Source organism: Homo sapiens, chromosome 7 (genome assembly GCF_000001405.40).
Source record: "Homo sapiens chromosome 7, GRCh38.p14 Primary Assembly".
Classification (NCBI taxonomy): domain Eukaryota; kingdom Metazoa; phylum Chordata; class Mammalia; order Primates; family Hominidae; genus Homo; species Homo sapiens.
Window position 1 is genome coordinate 111,799,322 of NC_000007.14, and position 22,511 is coordinate 111,821,832.

At 37.9% G+C, this 22,511-nt stretch overlaps 1 protein-coding gene and 1 long non-coding RNA gene across 15 annotated transcripts in view; one reads left to right on the forward strand and one right to left on the reverse strand.

Annotated features, from left to right (window-relative positions):
• DOCK4 (dedicator of cytokinesis 4) overlaps window positions 1-22,511 on the reverse strand; it is a 480,290-nt gene that overhangs the window by 73,212 nt on the left and 384,567 nt on the right. For all 14 annotated transcript variants that reach the window (XM_047421081.1, NM_014705.4, XM_006716189.3 and 11 more), the window contains exons 28-30: window positions 12,553-12,628; window positions 9,980-10,080; window positions 9,500-9,558 (exon numbers count right to left, since the gene is read on the reverse strand). In XM_047421081.1, coding sequence (XP_047277037.1) covers window positions 9,500-9,558; window positions 9,980-10,080; window positions 12,553-12,628 — 236 coding nt within the window. The remainder of the gene's footprint in view (window positions 1-9,499; window positions 9,559-9,979; window positions 10,081-12,552; window positions 12,629-22,511) is intronic.
• On the forward strand, window positions 9,184-22,458 carry DOCK4-AS1 (DOCK4 antisense RNA 1). The gene is made up of 2 exons (NR_103806.1): window positions 9,184-9,292; window positions 20,057-22,458. It is a non-coding gene; the product is annotated as a DOCK4 antisense RNA 1 (long non-coding RNA).

The window sequence follows — 22,511 nt, forward strand, 5'->3', positions numbered from 1 at the left end:
CTCTAAATTGGTTAAGCATGTAACCTATTACTTCCAACAAAAATTGACACAACTAGCAGAAGCCCAACCCCAGAAAACAGAGCCACCTTTATTCGACCCAAGACATTTAGTATTAGCAAAAACTCTCATCTCTCTCTCCTTCCATAAGCCAAGCTGGAAAGGGCCCTACACTGTTCTTTCAACCCCTTTGGCAATAAAAGTTACAGAAACCAACTTCTGGATACATCACATTCAAGTCAAAGTCTAAAAAGCTAAGGGAGCAACCCCTGACAGCCCAGAGGAATGTCCTAAACATAAATGTGAAGAAACAGAAAATCTTAAGCTAAAACTCATAAAAAATAAGTAACTAAGTAAGGGCTATTCATCTTAATCCCACTCCTACCTAACCTTTCCTCTCAAAGTTCACCACCAAATATTAAAACTTCTTTTTAACTCATATTTGCAAGCAACTTTTAATTATACATGGGATTGCATTTGTAACTTTATAAACCCACAAAGAAGATTACATCTTGGCAAGTAAAGAAATAATTTTATATGGAAATTATTTACTATGCCACTCTTGTGGAAACTGTTATCATCCCACTACTAATTGCAATAAAACTATACACTGTGTCACCCACAATGTGGAATTCTGGTTGTAAAATTCTAATTGCTGTAATATTTTGCCTGATTATCATCCTTATAACAGGATTAATAATTGCAGGAAAGATTTACTCAAGGTTGTTTTGGTTATAGCAAAAGTAATAGGGATAAAAAGTAAGTATAAAAGTTTTACTATCACTAAGTTTAATACGACTTTTTTACTAAAGGTTGATAATACAATGCACTTTAAGCTAGGAAAAGACTGTTATTTAAAAAAGATTTTATATAAGGAAAGATTTTGTATGGTAAATACTTGTCCTAAAAAAAAAAAAACAGCAACAACAACAACTGGTTATTTGAAGGAAAGATGTTTAGAACAAGTCAGAAAGTTTAAGTATGTTGTAGTCTGTGGAAGCTATAAAAAAATTAATAAATTGTCAAATTAATGCTAAAATTATTTTAGCCACCCAATAACATATCTCTCCCGATCATATTGCAAGTTATAAAAATAGCCTAAGCCTAAAATTCCTCTCTAATGGCAAGTCAAGGGGGAAATATATGCTTTTCCTCAAGAAAAATGTTACTTTTATGTTAACGTTTCTGGTAATGTACAGCGACATCTAGTAAAAACAAAACGGTATTGCAATCCACTGGTGTAACAAACAGGTGTCAAACTCTACTGTCAGTTATGGTCTATAGGACCCCCACTAATGGTGGTAATCTTAATGCTTATATTCTAACTCTGTATTTTAAACTTTCTTGTAAAATTTATCTTTTTTCGCCTAAAGGTAACCAAACTCCAAACAGTGCTGCAAACAAAGCCAAACACAGACACGCTATTCTTCCAAAAACCCTTAAATCAACCTCAGGAGAAGGCCCAACTGCTGTTCCCCCACACGACACCCCTTTTCAACAGGAAGTAGCCAGAAAGAATCGTCATCCAACACCCCCTAACAGCAGTTAGGTTTACGTCTCTTTAAAGGGGGAATAATACAGGAGTTATTAAGAAATAACTTTCAGGCTGATAGTAGTGGTAAAGGTTCTCTGTGAAAATTTTCCTGCAATAAAAAGCAACCGCCCGAAACATTTCTTCTCTAACAGAAAAGGCGGCTGAAGAGCCAGGCTGGAAAACTTTGATATGCAAATGCCAGTGATTAAAAACTAGGTTCATCTGACATGGGCAATATGGCGATTCCTACCACCTGTGCCAAGTGTCATGGCCACCTCCGGATAACACCATGTGTTCAGAACATCATGGCGACCCACATTTGCATATTAAAGGACTAAGGTGGGAGGGCCAGGTTTTTTGCGGACTGTGTGAATGACACACCTGGTCAAACCAATCCTCTGGGCCCATGCAAATCAAACATCGCCTCCTTCAGCCTCTGATATAACTGATCATTTTTCCGCTGCTCATGCAGTCTCTTTGTTTCAAGCCTCCCCACCTCTGTCTCTGTACAAGGGAGCTGTTTTCTTCTTTCTTGCCTGTTAAACTTTTCGCTCCTTAAAACCACACCACATGTGTGCGTGTCCTTTTATCTAAATTGGCGCAAGACCAAAAACCCTGGTGTTCTTCCATTCATCAGAGCCATGTCATCACTATCTCTAAATCACTTTTCCATACCCATTATGTGTGAGGAAGAAACATGGCTCATAAATCCTTTTGCATTCCTACCTTTATTTTTGACCTAGATATTCTTTTGTCTTTCCCAAAGGACTGCTTAGTTTTCCTCATCAGAGCAAGAATACCTCAAAAGAAACTTTTTATTTCTTTTCTTTTTTCCTTTTTTTTTTTTTTTTTTTTGAGACAGAGTCTCGCTCTGTTGCCCAGGCTGGAATGCAGTGGTGCGATCTCAGCTCACTGCAAGCTCCGCCTCCTGGGTTCACGCCATTCTCCTGCCTCGGCCTCCCAAGTATCTGGGACTACAGGCGCCCATCAACACGCTGGGCTAATTTTTTTTTTTTTTTTTTGTATTTTTAGTAGAGACGGGGTTTCACCATGTTAGCCAGGATAGTCTTAACCTCCTGACCTCATTAACTGCCTGCCTTGGCCTCCCAAAGTGCTGGGATTACAGGCGTGAGCCACCGTGCCCAGCCAGAATAAATACTTTCAAGACTGACAAACTCACTGAAATATAAATTCATAGCTCTCCCTATATTTTCCTCATTCTATCAACACATACAATTCCAGCCAGTAACTAGCAGCTAGCATTTGCAATTCCTTCCCTCAGTTATTTTTATCAGGGTAGAAAACCTGTGCAACCTGAACTCAATCACTCTTACTGTCATTTTAAAAAGCCTAAACCCACTAAACAGCTCACCAAGATGTCCTGGAAATTGAGTGGGGGGAAAGACAAAAGGGGGAAGAAAATTTCTGTTGGGGCAAAGGCTCACAAATTCTGAGATTAACAGGTCTTGCATTTCTTCCATAACCCTGCCTCATGAGATGGCTGCAGGGGCTCAAAGTCCAGCCACAGAGGCTGTGCCCCAGCAGAGCCCCAGCTATGCTCTCTCTGCTGCCTTGACACTGTGTAAGACACTAAACCTTTGCACAGCTTTTGGGTATGTGTGAAAAAAGGGGGATGGAAGAGAGAGGGAATACAAAATGAAACTGAATTTCCTGCCAGCCGGAATAGTTCTCCCATGCCTGAGCTGGTAGATGAGATTCAGAGCTTCTATGTTACTATCTTGGTCTTTAGTCTTTCCGGAGCCTGGCATCCCTTGGCCTCTCTAATGAAGACCATATTAGCATGCACTTGCTTGAGTACTTTTGAATCTCTTAAAAAAAATCTCTTCCACTTATGATATTTTACAATCAAATTTTCTTCAAATTTCTTTTTAATATGAAAAATTTCAAACGCACACAAAATCACAGAAAATAGTTAAAAAAAATCCATACATCCATCATCTAGCTTCAGTGATTATCAAGACTCTTGTCCTTCCCATTTTACCTAATACCCCAACTATTTTTTTTCTAGAGTACTTTAAAGCAGGCCTGAGACATTGTTATCAGTCTACTTGTACATACATCTGTAAGCATCTTTAACAGATAGGACATTTTACAAATATAGAACCCTAATGCCTTTATCACACCTAAAAAAGAAATAAAAATTCCTTAAATTAATTAAAAACCCAGCCTATATTAAAATTTCCTTTGATGGTCTTAAAACATGTCATGTATAGCTGGTTTCTTTCAATCACAATTCAAACAAGGTCCATATACTACATTCTGCAGCCTGATTTTTTCCATTGACAGTTAAGAAGGTCAGAGAAGCCACACCTACATTTAAGTCATTGTGCAGGAATGCATGAGAATAGCTTATTTGCTGAAAACATACTTTGGGAACACGGAATCTGCAAACCTGAACAGGCTCTCCAACCACAGAAAATTTAATTCCTACAGAACCAGCAAAGCAATTTTGAGCTATGTATGGCAACAGCAAAATAAACTTCATTTAAATGATTTCTTTTTAAACCATAGATTTAGTATACTTTCTCTACCTCTAATTGTTGGCCACATGGTCTTATTTTGAAGTATTTAGGGCACCTGCTACTTGGACTGTTGGAGTTTTATATTTATGCACACAGAACAGCCTGCTAGGGAAGTATTGATTTTTTTTTCTACAGCAGTTACAAGACACTGTGTTTGCAAATGTGGAACAAAGAGCTCACTTTATATTTAGTAAGAATGTTAGTTCATCTAAAAATAGAAAGAAAAACTTAACCTTGAAGAAAGATAAAAGCCAACACTGGAACATTCTAGTAAAGACTAACCTTTTTCTCTGTTCTTGCAAGTAGGGGTACAGACGGGTAAAGTTTTGGGGGAAAATATATGCCTTCCTCTGCCACGGCTCTTGATAGAACATTTTTTAGTCCTTCAACTTAGAAAATGAAAACGCTGAGGAATACCATATTTAAGAAAAGGTGTTTACTTATCACTAGTTGGCTTTTATGCTCTAAAAATACATTATTTTACCAAAACTGCAAATGAGATACCACCTCACACCCATTAGGATGACTACTGTCAAAAAACCAGGAAATAACAAATGCTGGAGAGAAAATGGAGAAACTAGAATGTGTGTGTTCTGTTGGTGAGAATGTAAAATGTTACAGCAGCTGTGGAGAACAGTTCCTCAAAAAATTAACAATAGAATTCCCATATGATCCAGCAATTCCACTTCTGGCTATGTACCCAAAAGAACTGAAAGCCAGATTCTCAGAGATATTTTATATGCCCACGTTCAGAGCAGCACTATTCACAATAGACAAAAGGCAGAAGCAACCCAAATGTCCACTGAGGAATGAATGAATAAAGAAAATGTGGTATATCCATACGACAGAATATTATTCAGCCTTAAAAAGGAAAATTTTGATACATTACAACATGAATGAATCTTGAGGACAATCTGTTAAGCAAAATAAGCCAGTTACAAAAAGATAAATTCTGTATGATTCCACTTACGTGAGGTACCTAGAGTAGTTAAATTCATAGAGACAGAAAGTAGAATGGTAGTACCAGGGGCTGGGGAGACAGGGGAATGAGAAGTTATTGTTTATTGGGTATAGAGTTTCAGCTTCACAAGATGAAAAGAGTTCTAGAGATGGATGGTGGTGATGGTTGCATTGCAATGTGAATATACTTAATATCACTGAGCTGTGGCCTGAAAAATAGTTAGAATGCACATTTATTTATATTTATTTTTATTTTTTTTTTGAGACAGAGTCTCGCTCTGTCCCCCATGCTGGAGTGCAATGGCGCGATCTTGGCTCACTGCAACCTCTGCCTCCCAGATTCAAGCAATTCTCCTGCCTCTGCCTTCCAAGTAGCTAGGATTACAGGCATATGCCACCACACCCAGCTAATTTTTATATTTTTAGCAGAGACGGGGTTTCGTCATGTTTGCCAGGCTGGTCTCGAACTCCTGACCTCACGTGATCCACCCACCTCAGCCTCCCAAAATGCTGGGATTACAGGTGTCAGCCACTGCACCCAACCAAGATGTACATTTTATTTGTATTTTACCACAATTAAAAAATGTTTTAAAACTAAATTTTAATTATATGAGCAGGATGATGTGTTCAGTGCTCTGTATGCACTGGAGACAGGTAGCATGACTTAAAGTTCCAGGCAAGAGCTCAAAGCCTTTCTGTCCCCAGGATCTACTGCTGTCTCACAAGGGAAGAAGAGAAGCCCTGCCTTGTTGACCTGTGGAGGACTATTTGTTGTCTTTGGACAACAAAACCTTTTGATTTTATTTCTATGTTCCCAACCAGACCTCATAGAACTAGGGCTGAAGCATGAACTAGCAGAGCCACGGATTCATTCCTGTAGACATAAAAATGGGTGCTCATGGCCCTGCTTGCAAAAACTCCAAGACTGAGGCGACAGCAGAAGAGAAGTTAGAACTCGCTTCCTCCAGTTGTGTGAACTACAAATGTACTAAAGGATCCAAATATTTACTAATTCAGAACAAAGGTTAAACTTTCTTAATGTAAATAATCATTATAAAAGCACATTTAATACTACAGACAAGTTGTTATGTAATTTTAGAATTATAAAATATTTCAAGCACACACAACTAAATGTCTGTTAGATGATTTATGGTTAAAAATAACACTGTAAACATAAGCAGTTCTAGGTCTCATAGGGTTGAAAAATTGCTCACAGGTTGCTAAGGGATATAATGATCAGATTTTAAAATCCTACAGCTTTAAGTTTAAAAGCAGACAAGTCACTGAATTACATGTGTCTTTCCCCTCCGTGTCCTCAGTGGAATGGAAAAAAACAACATGTTTCTAGCATATGGAAGAATTTCAACACTTCAGAGGTAAACATCAATGACCAAATCTGATTTAAAAGTATTATCCAGCAAAATGTGTATTTCTAAATTAGACCAACTAGACAGTTTCAAGTGGAAAAAAGTATATTAAGTGGCCTTGGGCATTTCCTCCCTTCATCTTATTTTCTAAAAGTTAGTGCATTTTGTATCTATTAAAAATATTGAGGATCTTGATTTATGAAATCATAAAAGCTTACTAGCTTTACTAAAACATGATGATGTTGTCTTTGTCAAGCTTTGTCATAGTTCAAACTAAATTGGACAAAATTTTAAAATATAAGATTTGAAAACTAAGATTTTAATAGGTGTGGACCATTTTTTCTTATGTCCTCCAAAATACTTGCATATATCCAGTGCTTCATAAACTTAGTCAAATTGAATTTACTGGACTGTTACATTAAAACATGGCAAATTTATAATTACCTGAATAAATTCTCTTACAGCATTCAAATTCTCAACATGACATATTTATAAGTAAACCAAATGATAACTAATGTACTTTGATATTCCTAAGTAACAAGCTGACTTAAGGCCTATAAGGGGTATCAAAATGTCACTCTGAATACTTAATTATTCTTCTCCTCATTTTATAAAAATATATGTTGGAAGAGAGGCTTTAACATTTCTGAATTTTTTCCAATTCTAGCTATTGCACAACAGCAACAAACTTTAAAATTCACCTAATATTTGGGAAGTCTTTGCAAAGTCTAGACACAACTCTTGGGAAATAATGCAGCAACCAAGGAATGAAGTAAAAATTTACGCTGACCCTACGCTTGAACCACGTCATGCTGGGAATCTGTAAGTTGAGTATAAAGGAGGAGCCTTTTCTAACAGCGTCTTAGGATTGTGCTAGAGCTAAGTCTTTATGGCTGTAACAACAAAGAAAGAGGATAAACTAAAGCAGTGCTTTTCAGTTTTTAGCTAAGTACATAAGAATCACCTGGAAAACTTGCTAAAACAGACTGCTGTGCCCCAATCCCAGAGATTGTGTTTCAGTAGGTCTAAGGTGGAGTGAGAGATTTTGCATTTCTTACAAGCTTCCAAGGATGCTGATGCTACAGTATAACAAAATACTGCATTATAGGTATTGATATGCTCCAGAAATTTTCCATATTCTCTAGATCTCTGAGAAAAACAGAGAAGCAATTTAACATAAAAACCAGAGAGGCAGAAATAGTTTCATTTTAGAAGAAAGACAAAATACAGGATAAAAGTTTATGAAGTATACAGTGACATGTTTAGGGAGATTACATGTGACAGCTTTATTTAGCAGCCCAAGGGTCATGGGCCTAAATGCATAGCTATTATGGTTTGGATACAGGTTTATGTGGAAATAACCATAGATGGCAATGCTGAGATGTATCTAGAACAGAAACTGGTCATTCTTTTTTAACATTCTTGTAACCGAACAGAATCTGTCCTGCTCTCATAATTTGAGCCCAGAAAAGAGCTTACACAACCACAAGTGCATTCAAACAGATTCAATGCAGCATTCTTTCAAAAACATCTTGCTAAATTAATGTCGAATGCAATATGGACACTACAAGGGCCTTGATCTTCTTTAGGAAAAACAAGGACACAAAGAATCAATGAAACCTGAAAACACTGAAGACTAAGAAGAGCAGTCTCCAAATAAGAAAACTATTTTTGAGCTGCAACTAAAGACAGACCATGATATCTTCTGGCTGGCCTTACATAGTTGAAGGTTGTTTTCAAGATGATAACTCTTTTTTTTTTTTTTTTGAGTCAGAGTCTCACTCTGTCACCCAGGCTGATGGAGTGCAATGGAGCGATCTTGGTTCACTGCAACCTCCACCTCCCAGGTTCAAGTGATTCTCCTGCCTCAGCCTCCCAAGTAGCTGAGATTACAGGCACCCCCCCACCACGCCTGGCTAATTTTTGTATTTTTAGTAAAGACAGGGTTTCACCATGTTGGCCAGGCTAGTCTCAAACTCCTGACCTCAAGTGATCTGCCCGCTCCAGGCTCCCAAAGTGCTGGGATTACAGGCATGAGCCATTGCTCCCAGCTTCATTATTTTTTTTTATTTTTTATTTTTTCTGAAATCACCAGCAAGCATTGAACACTGGGCTTAATTATATATACCAAGGCTCCCTCAAGTTGTTATGTATATTTGAGGAATATACATACCCTATTAAAAAAAAATCACCCTGTAATGATCCTGGTCAAAAATCAGTCTGTTAACATGAGTGGAAGTAAAACAATAATGGTTCTATTTTCATTCACAGAAAATAAATCCTTCCAATCTCCAAGTTGTACTTGGATAAGCCCAAGAGAAAAGATATTTTCAGGTCATTACGTATTCAACTCAAATAGGTCAATCATTTTAATAAATCAAAGAGGAGCATTAAGATGCAGTAATAGTAAATGAATACTAAAAACCTGCATAGTTAACATACCAAATGAAATAACTTATAAATCTCTAGAAAGGGACCCTATGCCAATGAATTTTAAAACAATTTGTTTTCCAAATATTACTGTTTTCTATGCAACCAGATCTGTACCATCAATTTTCTGGAATAATATACTCTATCTGCTATAGCAGATTAACAAAATTGGATCCAACAGTTTCTTAGCAACTGCAGATGCTTTTAAAATCCTTTGGCTATACTCTTTATGATATAGGACAATGGTCTCAAGTTTTTAAGAGTAGTGACGTTCAAGTCAATGTTTCATGAAGTTTAACCTAAATTTATTATGATTCATAGCTTCAACTCAGAGTTCTAGAAATTTTGAGTTGTTACAGTTCCAAATTCTGAAAGGTTGCCTCATCGCTGGAAATATGTGTAATGTTGGAGCAATGCTAGATTATAAAATTTATCGTTAATTAATAATGAAACACACAAAGGTAAGGTGACTTTTCTTAGAGACCAATTTAAAGAATTTGTTGTAACCTCATTCAATGCCAAAGTGTCAATTACTTTCTATAGATGTTTATTGATTTAGACATTTGGTTTCACATGGTGTCACTGGTAAATTGCCTTTCTTCATTTGTACACTTCAAGGTACAGCGAGGAGCTGTATAGTAGATGTGGCTTCTCTTTTCCTCACTTACCTAGGTTTTGCCACATGCTGAAAATTTCACAACCCATTGTTACCCGCATGTCACCATACCTGAAATAGAACAAAAAACCAAACCTGATACAATGCCTCCAGAACAAGGAAGTATTTGTGTGTCTTTAGGATACAATCTATCATTCTGAATTACAAGGCAAGGAGTTTTTAATTAAAGACATTTAATATACATGTCACGATGCCTCTAAGTCAAATTCTGGTGTAAACCTTTTAGTAAAAGAGATCTGTTTCATAATTTTTTGCATCTATAGAAATTTTGAATCCTGAAAGAGCCAGGTCAAAACAATGTGCAAACATGTTTGAAATATCAAAACATCCAGAAAAGACTGCTTCTTGACCCCTTGGTCACTGGTTCTTCACTGTGTGATTTCCAGTTATGCGCATTCTGATTTATGAATCATTTGAACTAAATACTCTTTAAGAGGCAACATTTCTCACCTGATTATACACTGATACTTACTTTTCTAACACCTTTTTCTTCTTGGAAGGTGTGAACATCTCCAACTGCAGACACAACTGGTTTATAAAAATGACTGCGAGGTAAAAGTAGGAATCCCAGATCTAAAACAAGAACAAGATATATCAATACTATGGTGTTACAAGCATATTGACAGGTGAAGTGACATAGTATTTTGGATTTGCTTCAAAAGTGGTTGAGGGTATAGTTGAAGTAAGACTGACCATGAGTTGATAATAGTTGAAGCTGGATATGGGTACCTCATGGGGGTTCATTATACTATTCTCTCTACTTGTACATATGCTTAAAATTTTCTAAAGTGAAGAAGTAACTAAATAAATAAGTACTATTATTATCTAGGTGTATATTGCTCCAAAGCTGTATTCCAGGTTTCACGAGCTTTTTGGTATATGCTAAAAGACAGATGCGTGGTTTCTCTTGTAATATGTCTGAGTATCTCCAAGAGGATGAGGTATAAGATGGATTTCTTTATTCCTGTGTGAGTTCATTTTTGGAACTCCTTTTAACGTAGAACTTGTAAAAAATGCATACACTTCTTCAGATATGCTAATTGCTTTAAATTCAGACATTATATAAAAATTCCCTGCCCAGGCAAATCTTTTAAGTTTTCTTATACCAAAAAACAGAATCAGAAAGAGATCTGAATAAAGTTCCCTGAAATAAACTTAGCAAAAAAAAAAAAGGACATAATGGAAGGAACACACTTCTCCACTGACACCATGTAAAATTAAAGACATAACAAACCAGGAGACATATGACACAGAATCAGTATCTGTTATACGTAAATAGCTCTTACAAATAAAAAAGAATATAATAAAACCCTAAGTAAAATAATGAATAAAAGTCAAGAACAGTCCAGGTGCGGTGGCTCATGCCTGTAATCCCAGCACTTTGGGAGGCCGAGGCGGGTGGATCACAAGGTCAGGAGTTCGAGACCAGCCTGGCCAATATGGTGAAACCCCGTCTATCCTAAGAATACAAAAATTAGCCAGGTGTGGTGGTGCGCTCCTGTGGTCCCAGCTACTCAGTAGGCTGAGGCAGAAGAATTGCTTCAACCTGGGGGGCAGAGGTTGCAGTGAGCCGAGATTGCGCCACTGCACTCCAGACTGGGCGACAGAGGGAGATTCTGTCTCAAAACAAAAAAAAGAAAAAAAAAAGTCAAGAATAGACAATTCACAAAAATATGAATTTTGATCAATAACTAGTAACTAGTCAATAAGTAATAATTAGTGAGAAATGTAAATTAAAGCAAACAGGATTTTTCTCTTTATCTGTCAGAAAAAAAATCTCTTCTAATGTTGGTGTAGCTGCAGGAAAAGAAGCAATCAAATGTAATTGGTACAACCTTTCACTCAACAATTCCACTAATAAATATTTATCCAAAGAAATAATTAAGGGCCAGGCGCGGTGACTCATGCCTGTAATCCCAACACTTTGGGAGGCTGAGGCAGGCAGATTACCTGAGGTCAGGAGTTCAAGGCCAGCCTGGCGAACATGGCAAAACCCCATACTACTACTAAAAATAAAAAAAAAATTAGCCAGGCATGGTGGTGTGTGCCTGTAATCCCAGCTATTCTAGAGGCTGAGGCAAGAGAATCGCTTGAACCTGGGAGGCGGAGGTGGCAGTGAGCCGAGACTGCGTCACTGCATTCCAGCCTGGGCAACAGAGCAGGACTCTGTCTCAAAAACAAAACAAAACAAAACAAAACCAGAAACAAAAAAAGAACCAAAGAAATAATTAGGGATATATGCCAAGTTTTATTTTACAAGAATGTACATAAAATGAGTAATTTATAAGAATGAAATATGAAATTTTGATATACTATAAGCTATGACATAGACAAATATTATGTAACTATTAAAATTCCTTTTTTATTGTATTTGTCCTTTTTTGTATTTTCTTATTATCCAATAAGGAAATTTTATAAAAGTGTTTAATATGAAATATGTTATTCAAAACAGAGTAAGAAGAAAGATGCCCAAAACAAAGAACCACCATTGAGGAAGAAAGCCAAGATAGGCACTGCTCATCTTTGTTTGCTATTTATCACTTGCTATTTGAAAAATAGTATATCAAGAATTTGTAGGCACCCAGGCATATCACATTATATCATAGATATACAGAGGGTTCTGCCTTAAAGAACCTTACCAATGTTTCATTTTTTTCTTTTCATTAATTCATTCTAAAAAATGGGAAGACAAAGAAATAAGAAACTAAAGGGTTTACTTTGTAAACGTTTTCTTCATATAAACTCCATTTCTAAAAAGTAAAAAACACTATGTTTTGAGTCTCCTTTGTCATAAACAGGGATCATACAGAAAAGAGCAAGAATTAAAATGTATAGTAACAATAAAAAACTATCTCCTTTTAAGCGCTATGATCTCCTTTTAAGCGCTATGTGAACAGTCTTCATCTGTTCACAAATATAATGAAAACTGTTCTAATATTCCTCATAGTTAAAACTAATACGGCCCAAGAAAATGTTAGGTAATTTCCTATAATACAATGTGATTCTTTTAGCCCAAGCAGGAGAGTCATATAAATGAATGCTTACCTTATAATCAAAGTTTTCATTTAAGAAGTTCTTACGAAGTGCATCTGAGAGGTATAGAACTGTTGTAATAATAACACTAGTGATAAAAAAAATGACAAGGTGAAAACTTCATATTAGTGAAAATCATTTAGTATACAAGAATAAAAACCTACTAAGATAAAATAAAACCTTCTTCAGTAAGCATCTGGAGCAATATTAAATAATTCATATTTGAAACAAAAAAGAGACAACAGGTCAATAAAAGGGGAAGAAATCTATCACTGAAGTCAGGACCTTTGTAAACTGATACACGAAAGATCTATGAATTCATATGGCTCAGACAGAAATATATTATCACCTTGATGTTTTGTAATGTTTTTTGTTAATTTCCAAACAAAGCAAAATGATTTACTACAAACATAACATTTCATATTTTTCTGTTTTTGAGACAGGGTCTTGCTCTGTTGTCCAGGCTGGAGTGCAGTGGCATGATCATAGCTCACTGCAGCCTCAAACTCCTGGGCTCAAGTGATCCTCCTGCCTCAGCCTTCCAAGTAGCTGGGTCTACAGGTGCATGCTGCTGTGTCCAGCCAAATGGTTTTTCAGTTTTTCTGAGACAGGTTCTCACTCTGTTGACCACGCTGGTCTTGAAATCCTGACCTCAAGCTATCCTCCTGTCTGGGCCTCCCCAAGTGCTAGGATTACAGGCAACATTCCATATTTGATTATCATAAAAGAAAGCCATGCTTTTTAAAATGCAGAGGAAAAAATGGAGCCCAAAGACAAAATAGATAGGAAAAAATAATAGAATACATTGAGTATTTATTAGACTTCTCTCTGTTCTCCCCTGTTTAAGGTATTAGAGGGCATGCAAGAGCTATAGAAGGCAGATTCCCTCTTTAAGGGTGACAAGACTGCCACTAAAGAAACAATTACAGACTGTGAAATTGTCTATAACCCAGTACGAAGCTGTGTGAAACCGACAGTGTTACAGACATTCAGAGAAAGGGTCATCTCCAGGGCAGGAGAAATCAGGAAAAGCCTGACCAATACAGCCATAGGTAGCTCGCTGGGGAGATTTTAAAAAGAAGGATTTGATGAGCATTCTTGGTTAGTTCTAGAGCTCTGCAATTTGTTCAAAATCTGCTAATTTTTATAACCAGGAGATAAATATTTAAAGTTGAACATATTTCCAATTGGTTCACTTAATGTTTAACACAGCATTATACTAAAGCAAGATTAGCCACCCCTTGAGCTACTATAAACTGAGGATCAATATATAAATTGTCGATATTTAAAATTTCTTTGACCTTTTCTGAGATGCATGTGTAATGAGTGTGTGATATGGTAAAGCCTCAGTTCTCTTCATGGGATTTGCAATTGGAGGATGTATTTATGTCACCCTAGGTAAAATGAAAAAACAAAAGAAAACAAAATACAGTATCAACTTCAAACTTTGGTTATCTTGCTAATATAGATTATATTTACTAGTTAGAAAAATATAGACTTTGAAAGACATAAATATTCATTATTGTTATCTGCTGGGAAACTCACTATTATAGCTTTCTTGTGGGGTAGGGAAATATTAACAAGGGTAATTAACAAGGGTAAGTTGATGGTTGAATGTGGAAGTTCAAGGTAATGAAAAGGAAACAAGACAACCACGATTTCATGGGCATTCGCTCTACCATGAACAGGCACTGTTACATGCGTGTGCATTTTACATATGTCATATGTACCTTTCAGTGAATCTTATTATTAAATTTAAGTATAATAAAAACCTATGAGATCGAGAAGTCTTGTGGTTTCTTCAGTCCCCTAAATGGCAGATATCATCAGTGCAAGTCATATCAAAGAGATACATCACCTGCAAATGATGGTATAATGCGGCAATTTCCCAAAGACACTGGAAAAATCAATGATAACTGAAGACATCATTACTGTTCCAAAGTATTTTACTCAAGTTTTACTATATGAAACTGAAGCTGAATCATCAGAAAATGAAAGGCTATCAGGCAAGGAAGTTGTTCTTGCCTAGCATCCAGTAAGATCACTGGACTTCTAAGTTTAAAGAAGAAAAATCTGTATGCTTAACATGTGGTTATAAGCACAAACTTTCTGCTTTGATGTTCAACGAGAAATACACACAGTCCCACTACACCTGGGGTTTACATTAAAAATCACCTTGTGGTCCACAGTTTCAGCTTAGATTGACGTTCAGACACAATACCTCTGGTGTTAGTGAAATATGACATATCTGGAATTTAGACTATCACGCCAAATGTCACAGAAAGGAGCTAACAAACTCAATCTTCCAAGGGAGAGAGAAGTTATTCCATGGCAAAGATTACCAAATTGTTATTTACATGGTGGATCCCAAACACACAAAATATATTTGTGGCTTTTTGAAGTACACTTGCTGGTAAACAACATGGAATCTCTGTGGCCTTACTATGGAACAGTTGCTCTCAACCTGCCCCGGGCCCTAGAATCACCTGGGAGCTTTTAAAATACAATGCTGGGTCACATCGCCAGAGACTACTGATTGGTCTGGGCTACAGTCAGAACATCAGGATTGTCAAAGCTCCCAAGTGATTCTTATGGTGTACCCGGAGCTGAGAACCACTGCTCTACCTTAGATCAGTGCTTCTCAAACTTTAACAGGTACCTGGTGATCTAGTTAAAGTGCAGATGATCCAGCAACCCTGGAGTGGGACTGGAGATTCTGCACTTCTAACAAGCTCCAGCGGATGCTAATGCTGTTGGTTTGCAACCACCCAATGAAGAGCAAGGCTCCGGAGTGGCCAGAATCAGAAATATTCCCACAAATTCTGTTTCAGCATTCTCCTGACTTCTGGAATATTAGGACGATTTGTATGGGGCTTGCAGTTCTTATTTCTAGATTGAACACCTCACCCTCTTATCAGGGCTGCCTTACCATTAGGCAGAAAGAGGCACAGGGCATTGGGCCTGTGAGCCTTTCAGGGACTTTCGAAAACATTGAGACCTGAAAGAATGTTATGCAACCAAACTGAAATTTGCAAAATAAAAAGTAAAAATAATGACTAATCACATGTCCACAGAAAGTGACACGATGACTTTCATTAACTGTCCAATTTTAATATTTATGCAATTTTAAAATTATAGATTATTTTAAACTTTTACAGTTCCTATAGTATACATAAACGCTGAGAAATCACAGCCAATCAAAATTAAATTATTTTACTTGATAAGCCAATAATTAAGAAGCAAATATAAAAAATACTTTTAATTTTTTTCTTTAGCAAAATTGTATCTAATGTGGCATGTGGGTCTATTTAGTGCTTGATAGGATGAGGAGTAGGGCCTCCAAAAATATGACTGCTCAGGGCTAGAAAGATCTTAAAAGGACTATTCAAATGCTTTTCTTTCATACCTATAACATTCAGCCCAAGCCATCAAGGCAGTTCCCAGAGCTTTCTATGGTAACTCATCACTGACATCATTTCCTAACACACAGGTCTCTAAGCTAGCCAGAGACATTTATACATTATTGCTCCTTCATTTTAGTGGATACCTGTGGTGTTTAGGGACCTTTCTTTACTTGTTTCAATTTATCCAAAACCATGTGGATTCTCTGGTTTCATTCTTTTACTCATGAATCAGTGTTTGAATATGGGGATATTGCAAATCTCAGTGCTCCAACTCAATAGTCAAAAAAGATTTTCAATATGCTACCACAAACAGCCAAATTACTGATTTATTTATTCATTTATTTATTTCCTTCCTTCCTTCCCCTCCCCCATCCCCTCCCCTCCCCTCCCCTCCTTTTTCTCTCTCTCTGTTCTCTTTCTTTCTTTCTGACGGAGTCTCCCTGTCACCCAGGCTGGAGTGCAGTGGTGTGATCTCTGCTCACTGCAACCTCTGCCTCCCACATTCAAGCAATTCTCTTGTCTCAGCCTCCCAAGTAGCTGGGATTACAGGTGCCCGCCACTGCGCCAGCTAATTTTTGTATTTTTAGTTAAAATGGGGTTTTGCCATGTTGGCCAGGCTGGTCTCGAACTCCTGACCTTAAGTGATCTGCCCGCCTCGGCCCCACTGTGTGTGGCCCAAATTACTGATTACTGCCACAGCAAGGCATGCAGTAGGATCATTTTTGACAATCATAATCTACAGGCACAGCATGATAAAATTTATGTATAAAAGAAAAACTGGTGTACATGAAATCAAAGTTATTGCTTTATGGTTTTCCAGTTGCCACCTCATTTTGGGCTTAAGAAATAACTTCAAGCAACCCTATTTCTCCCTCTCACTCTCATCCAGGAAAGCTTATCTCCCATAATTTTTTTTAATTACTCCAATTTGATAATCTGCTCATACACAAGCCCGTCTCCAAAAATCATATATGGACTGAGAGAAATACCTTTGTGGATAAACTGGGTCTTGACAATATTGATGTTTATACAATGAAAAACTAAGGACATCTAAACCTAGAGTCCAGCAATTTCCCTACAACCTGGTGGATTAATTGGGGCAGCAAAAAATCAACGCAAAGACATTTTGGGGAGATGAAATTCGTGGATAACCAATGTGGGAATGCATCTAAACGAGTGGTTCTCAAACTTCAGCATGCATGAGAATCACCCAAAGGATGCTTAAGACTTCAGGGTCTTACCACTACCTATGGCTTGGGAGGTTTGCAACCAGGCCCAACCAGGTGATTCTGATGCATGTGGTCATCCTTCTTATTTTGAGGACTGGTGTTACACATGGAAGAGAAGACAAGGAAGGGCTGGAACTTAGAGAACAATGGCATCTGGGAATCTGGCCTTTTTTACCACTGCATCCACAGGGGCAGAGACTAGTAAGTGTATGTTAAATGACTGTGGCCTCATGAGTACATTTGAGTCTATGCTTTGTTATACTTGTTTGCCATATTAGATGACTCTAAAATGTGAAGCTTATACAACTTTTAATTTCATTTATTTATTTATTTTTAGCTATTTTGAACAGACTGAAATTAGACAGGCAAAGCTGATCCAAGTGGAGGGCACAGAATCAGCTAAAGCAGGGAAGCAGAGAAAGGAGTGATTTTGCTTTCAGTCAATGGGGCACGCAGTGTGGATGAAGCAAAAAGAATGGGAAAGGATTTACACAGAGTGACTCTGAAAACTCTTTTGACCAGTACTCCACTGGGCAGTACTGGTGGAAAATCACTCATATGGCAATAGCCTCTGTTTTGACCTCTTAGGCTTAAACCCTAAGAAAGCCTTTCCTTCATGCATTCATTCTCTCTACCAACACCTCACAACTCACCTGGAGGAGATGGATTGTGCAAGCAATTCTTTTGTCATTATTTGCTGTAACTATTCAAGTTTGGCACATTCAGCATAGTAATATATAGTTTTGATAAAAAATAAGTATCTATTATCTCCCTGAACAGTAAAAGCCTTTAAGGATAACTACACTTAATTAAAAAAATCACAATCAAAACAACAGTAGCTGTGTCAATGGATGCTCAGCAGATTAGCTACTCTACCACTCAAGTTTTCAGGGTCAGTGGCGCATATTCCACCTTCCTTCCTGTTATTATGGATAAACTGTCGACGCTCCTACCTTTCTTTGTGTGCACTAGATCAATGCTGCTCTAAGTGCGGGAAGCTTCCCTCCTTGAGAAAGTCTTACCACAAAAAACAATGTCAGTTTAATTAAACTGCATGCTTACACTGAAGATTTATTTTTAAGTGAAAGCTTGTCATGGACAGGTAGCAGTTAGTTCTTGGGCTGGCATACCTAGCAACCTTGCATGCAATCCTATCCCTGCTTGCCCAAGGACATTGCTCTTTTAATTATCCCTGTTTTCTTTAGCACCAATATTTCTGTCTTTTACTAACAGGGCCATGCCTATTAGTAAATCAACATGCTGTAATATCCCATATTCTAAAAGGAATCCCAGTCCTCACATCTCCTTCCAGATACAGCCCTGTTTCTATGCTCCCTTTGACAGCAAAACTCTTCCTGTAATTACTATTTTCAGTTTCTCAACTCCTATTCACTCTAATTAGGTTTTCCTTTTCACCACTCCACTGAAACAACACTTGTCATGGTCACCAATATCTACCACACTGCCAAATCCTGGGACCAATTGTCTGTCCACATCACCACCAACCTCCCAGCAGCTCTAGATACTGCTTCCTTCTTGAAATGCTTTCTTCACAGGATACTGTACTCTGCTGGTTCTCATCTTACATCATAGGCTGCTCTTTTTCAGTCTTCTTCACTGGATACCTCTCCACTTCCTGACCTTTAAAATGTGGCATGCCCTAGGGCTCAGTCCTGTCTTTTTCTCTTTTCAGTCTGCACTTTCTTCCTCAGTGCTCTTGTTCAGTTCCAAGGTTTCAAATCCTAACCATATGCTGAGGAGCCCAAACGCACATGTCCAGCCCCAACATCATCCCTGAGCTCCATGCAAGCATGTCTAGCTTTCCCTTCTACATCTCCACTTGAATATCTAGTACACCTCAAACTTATGTTCAACATGGAATTCTTCACTTCTCTCATCCCCAATGCTACTCCTCTTTCCATTTTTTCCAACTAGGTGAATGGCACAATTCATCCTTTTACTTAGGCCAAGCATCTAAGGAACACCTTCCGTTACTTTTCTTCTCTCCCACCCACACCCAGTCACTTGCAAGTCTTATCATCCTTATTTCCAAAACCAATCTTCTCACTACCTTCATTGCTATCCGCCCGTCCAAGTCATCATCAACATCTCTTACCTGGATGGCTGCAGTAAGCTCCTAACTGGTTCTCCCTGGTTTCTCTTTGGTCTCTCCACATATCAATATCTGGGTTCTGTCTTCCTCCACCAACCTCATCTTTACTGGTTCCTTCCCTCCCCACATTTCAGCCACACTAACAGTCTTTCAGTTCCTTGAGTGTGCCACATTTACTCTGGCCACAGGGCCTTTGTAGATGCTACCTACTGATAGAATCATTATTCCTTTGCTGTTTGTTACCCCCTGCTAAGCTTTCAGTTCAAGCTTCACTCCTTCATGAAAGACCCCTCCTATTCTAGTCCAGAACAATGTTCACTTCATAACACCCTCATATCACGGTGCTCTTTGTCTTTATAGTACTTATTTTACACATCAGGCACTGGAAAATACTGGCTGAATAAGTGGGTCAGTAAATGAATGGACAACCTCTCTAAGAAACTTTGATTTAACAAATCGCTTTTTGGCTACATAGATCTCATTTGAAACCCAAGTTGGTTAGTGCATGATATGTTTGAGGCCAACATGCACACAAGATAACCAAAATAAAGACCTGAAATTTCAACTGAAGAGAGAAGGAGTTTTTACCTTCCTCAGTAAGCAAGTGTGTTATAAGGTTTTTCTTCTTGAAAATATGTATAAAGCTGTGACTTTATTTTTGTACTTTATTTCACAATGTGTATGGGAAGGGGGTGGAGAGAAGCTTGTCTCAAAGTGTCCTGTATTTTTGGTACTTAATTTTCATCTTCCTTATGTTCCTTCTTTCTTAGATTGAGCAGTTGTTGTCATCAGAAACATCTACCAGGAACTTACAGGGGGTCATGAGATAGCTCTACAGCAAACAAGAAAGAGAAGAAATGCTTCTTGCCCTGGCAGAATTATAAGTGGGCACACTTGCTATGTTATACAATATTAGGCATGCAGTAGAAAAAAACAAGGAACCATACAAATCACCAGGTGTCTGGTCACAAACTCTGGCAGAGCTTCACACCAAGCAGGCAAGCTACAAGATTTGGAACAACACAGCTTATAGATGAAAGTTAAAGGCATTTAATTTACTTGAAAACAGAGGAAGAAAGGACCAACACATAAAAGAACATTCATTTTGAGGGATGAGCAATTCAATTGAGTTCAAGGGTAGAGCAATGGTGACTTCTCAGCCACCTGCTATCAATTTGACATGTATTAAGCACACGACTGGGTTAATAAAAGTGGGAGTTTGGGTTAAAATGCCCTTTGAGAGGCCCTGAAAAAATGTTTGTCTAAGAAAGTTGAAACTATGGAAGAAAAGGTGGTCAACTTCAGAGACATAGATGTAACTCCTGCAACGTGCTTCAACATGGTTTAGCCAAGCGGAAACTTTTTCTTCCTAGTGTATGCTCTTTAACGTATTTAAGATGTCCTTAACATCTTTCAGAAATCTACTTTTCTACCAATATTATATGGGTTAATATTTTTCATAGATAAAGCACAAATAGTAGAGGGCTAATTTTCAGACTATGCTGCATTTATGAAGCAAAGCAAACCTCATCTGCTTTCATGACTTGAATGGAGGAGAATGGTTAGAGACTATTAAAAGAGGAGAGGAGAGGAAAGAAGAGGCAAGAGCAAGAACATACAGCAGACTGGCTGCTCCAACTTGGCAGTGGTCTCTCTAGTTCCTGGAGTCCTGTCCATGAATGAGGTTGGACTTGCAGCCACCAGCCATTGCCAGTGGAGAGGCAGCGCCAGACTCCTACCAGCACTCACATGGGTGGCAATGGAATGAAGTCACCACATTTAGCAAAGGGTGATGGCACATTTCTTGGGTTTGCTATGGGAGTAACCTTCTGTTTAAATGTATTACACAGAGCTCATCTCTAACAAAATCATCTTCCTATTTGGTTAACACTGTAAATGAAAATTCTGAACAGTGTGTGTTTACGCAAAGGTAGAATCTATACTCTCAGACTGCTATCCATTTGTGTGACCATAAAGTCTTTAAAACTGAAGTAACGATGGGGCAGAGAGAGGCAGTATTTAATATCAAAAAGCCACATGGTTGTTACAATTTTAGGCAAGCTTAAGCAGAAATTGTATATGTAAGGAATAAAATGTCAATGTTACTTTCAGTTTGAATTTCTACCACTGAAATTTTAATTCAATCCAAAATATTCCTCTGCACATGAGTCAGGCAGAATGACCAAATGTTGATGCTGCGTGATGATGATGTCCATAGCCTGGACCTCTTCCCATCTGGCTCCTTGGATTACCTCACAGCCCTTCCTAGGTACCCAGAATGTTTGCTCTTTGGTTATAAGGCCAGATGAATGAGCAAAAACTCCCACCTAAATCTGTAGCATGCGGACAACCAAATGAATAGATATTTGATTCTACTCACAGATATCAAACTAAATATGTTAAATTCTAAAGAGAGCTATTTCAACACTCTCAATCTTCAAAATGGAAAAGCTGCTTCTGTACTTATGTAAAATATAATATGCTATGTTATACTATTTGTTACTTCACAAAGTTTTTAACACATCATTTTAACACCTCCAAGTCTATAAATGTATACTGCAGCAGAAGCCATATTGAGCATATATAATCAAAATCGAATCCTATATTCCTGCAGCTCTCACCACCATCAAAGCTTGCCATCTGGAGAAAACACAGGGCGACCGTGGCCTACAGATAGATGCTTAGAGAATCCAACCTTCATCCTGAGCATGAGGGTGTTGGCGTTTGGAAAAGAGGAAGAAGGGGAAGCAGGCAAATGTGGGCTTGGAGAGTGACAATGCTAATGAAATAGGGTAAATAACAAGCTTGGAAGTGAAGACCAGGCCAGTTTCCTAGAACACTTTTCCATTCTGTATCTTGAGACTATGGAGACAGGAAGTGGAGAGAGCAGATAAATCCATGACACTGTACTCTCCGGGATCAGCTCCTGCCATTCCGACTGCCCTAATATCCTTTCCTGCCTCCTCTCTCTTCTAGTATTGCTCTCAGATCATGCTGGATATGCTTAATATAAACTGAATTTATCATCTTCTAGAGATTCCAATATCGACTTTATGTCAATAACCTCCCAAATGCCTGTATTTTGTTCTGAAGTTTCCTCGGGGCAGTATTTTCAGCTCTCTATTGGCCATACCACTTGGATGAATAAAAAGAACGTCAATCTCCATGTGTCCAACTCAAAGGTCATGTCTTATTCCCAGTGTTGAGCAGATGCTTCATGTATGT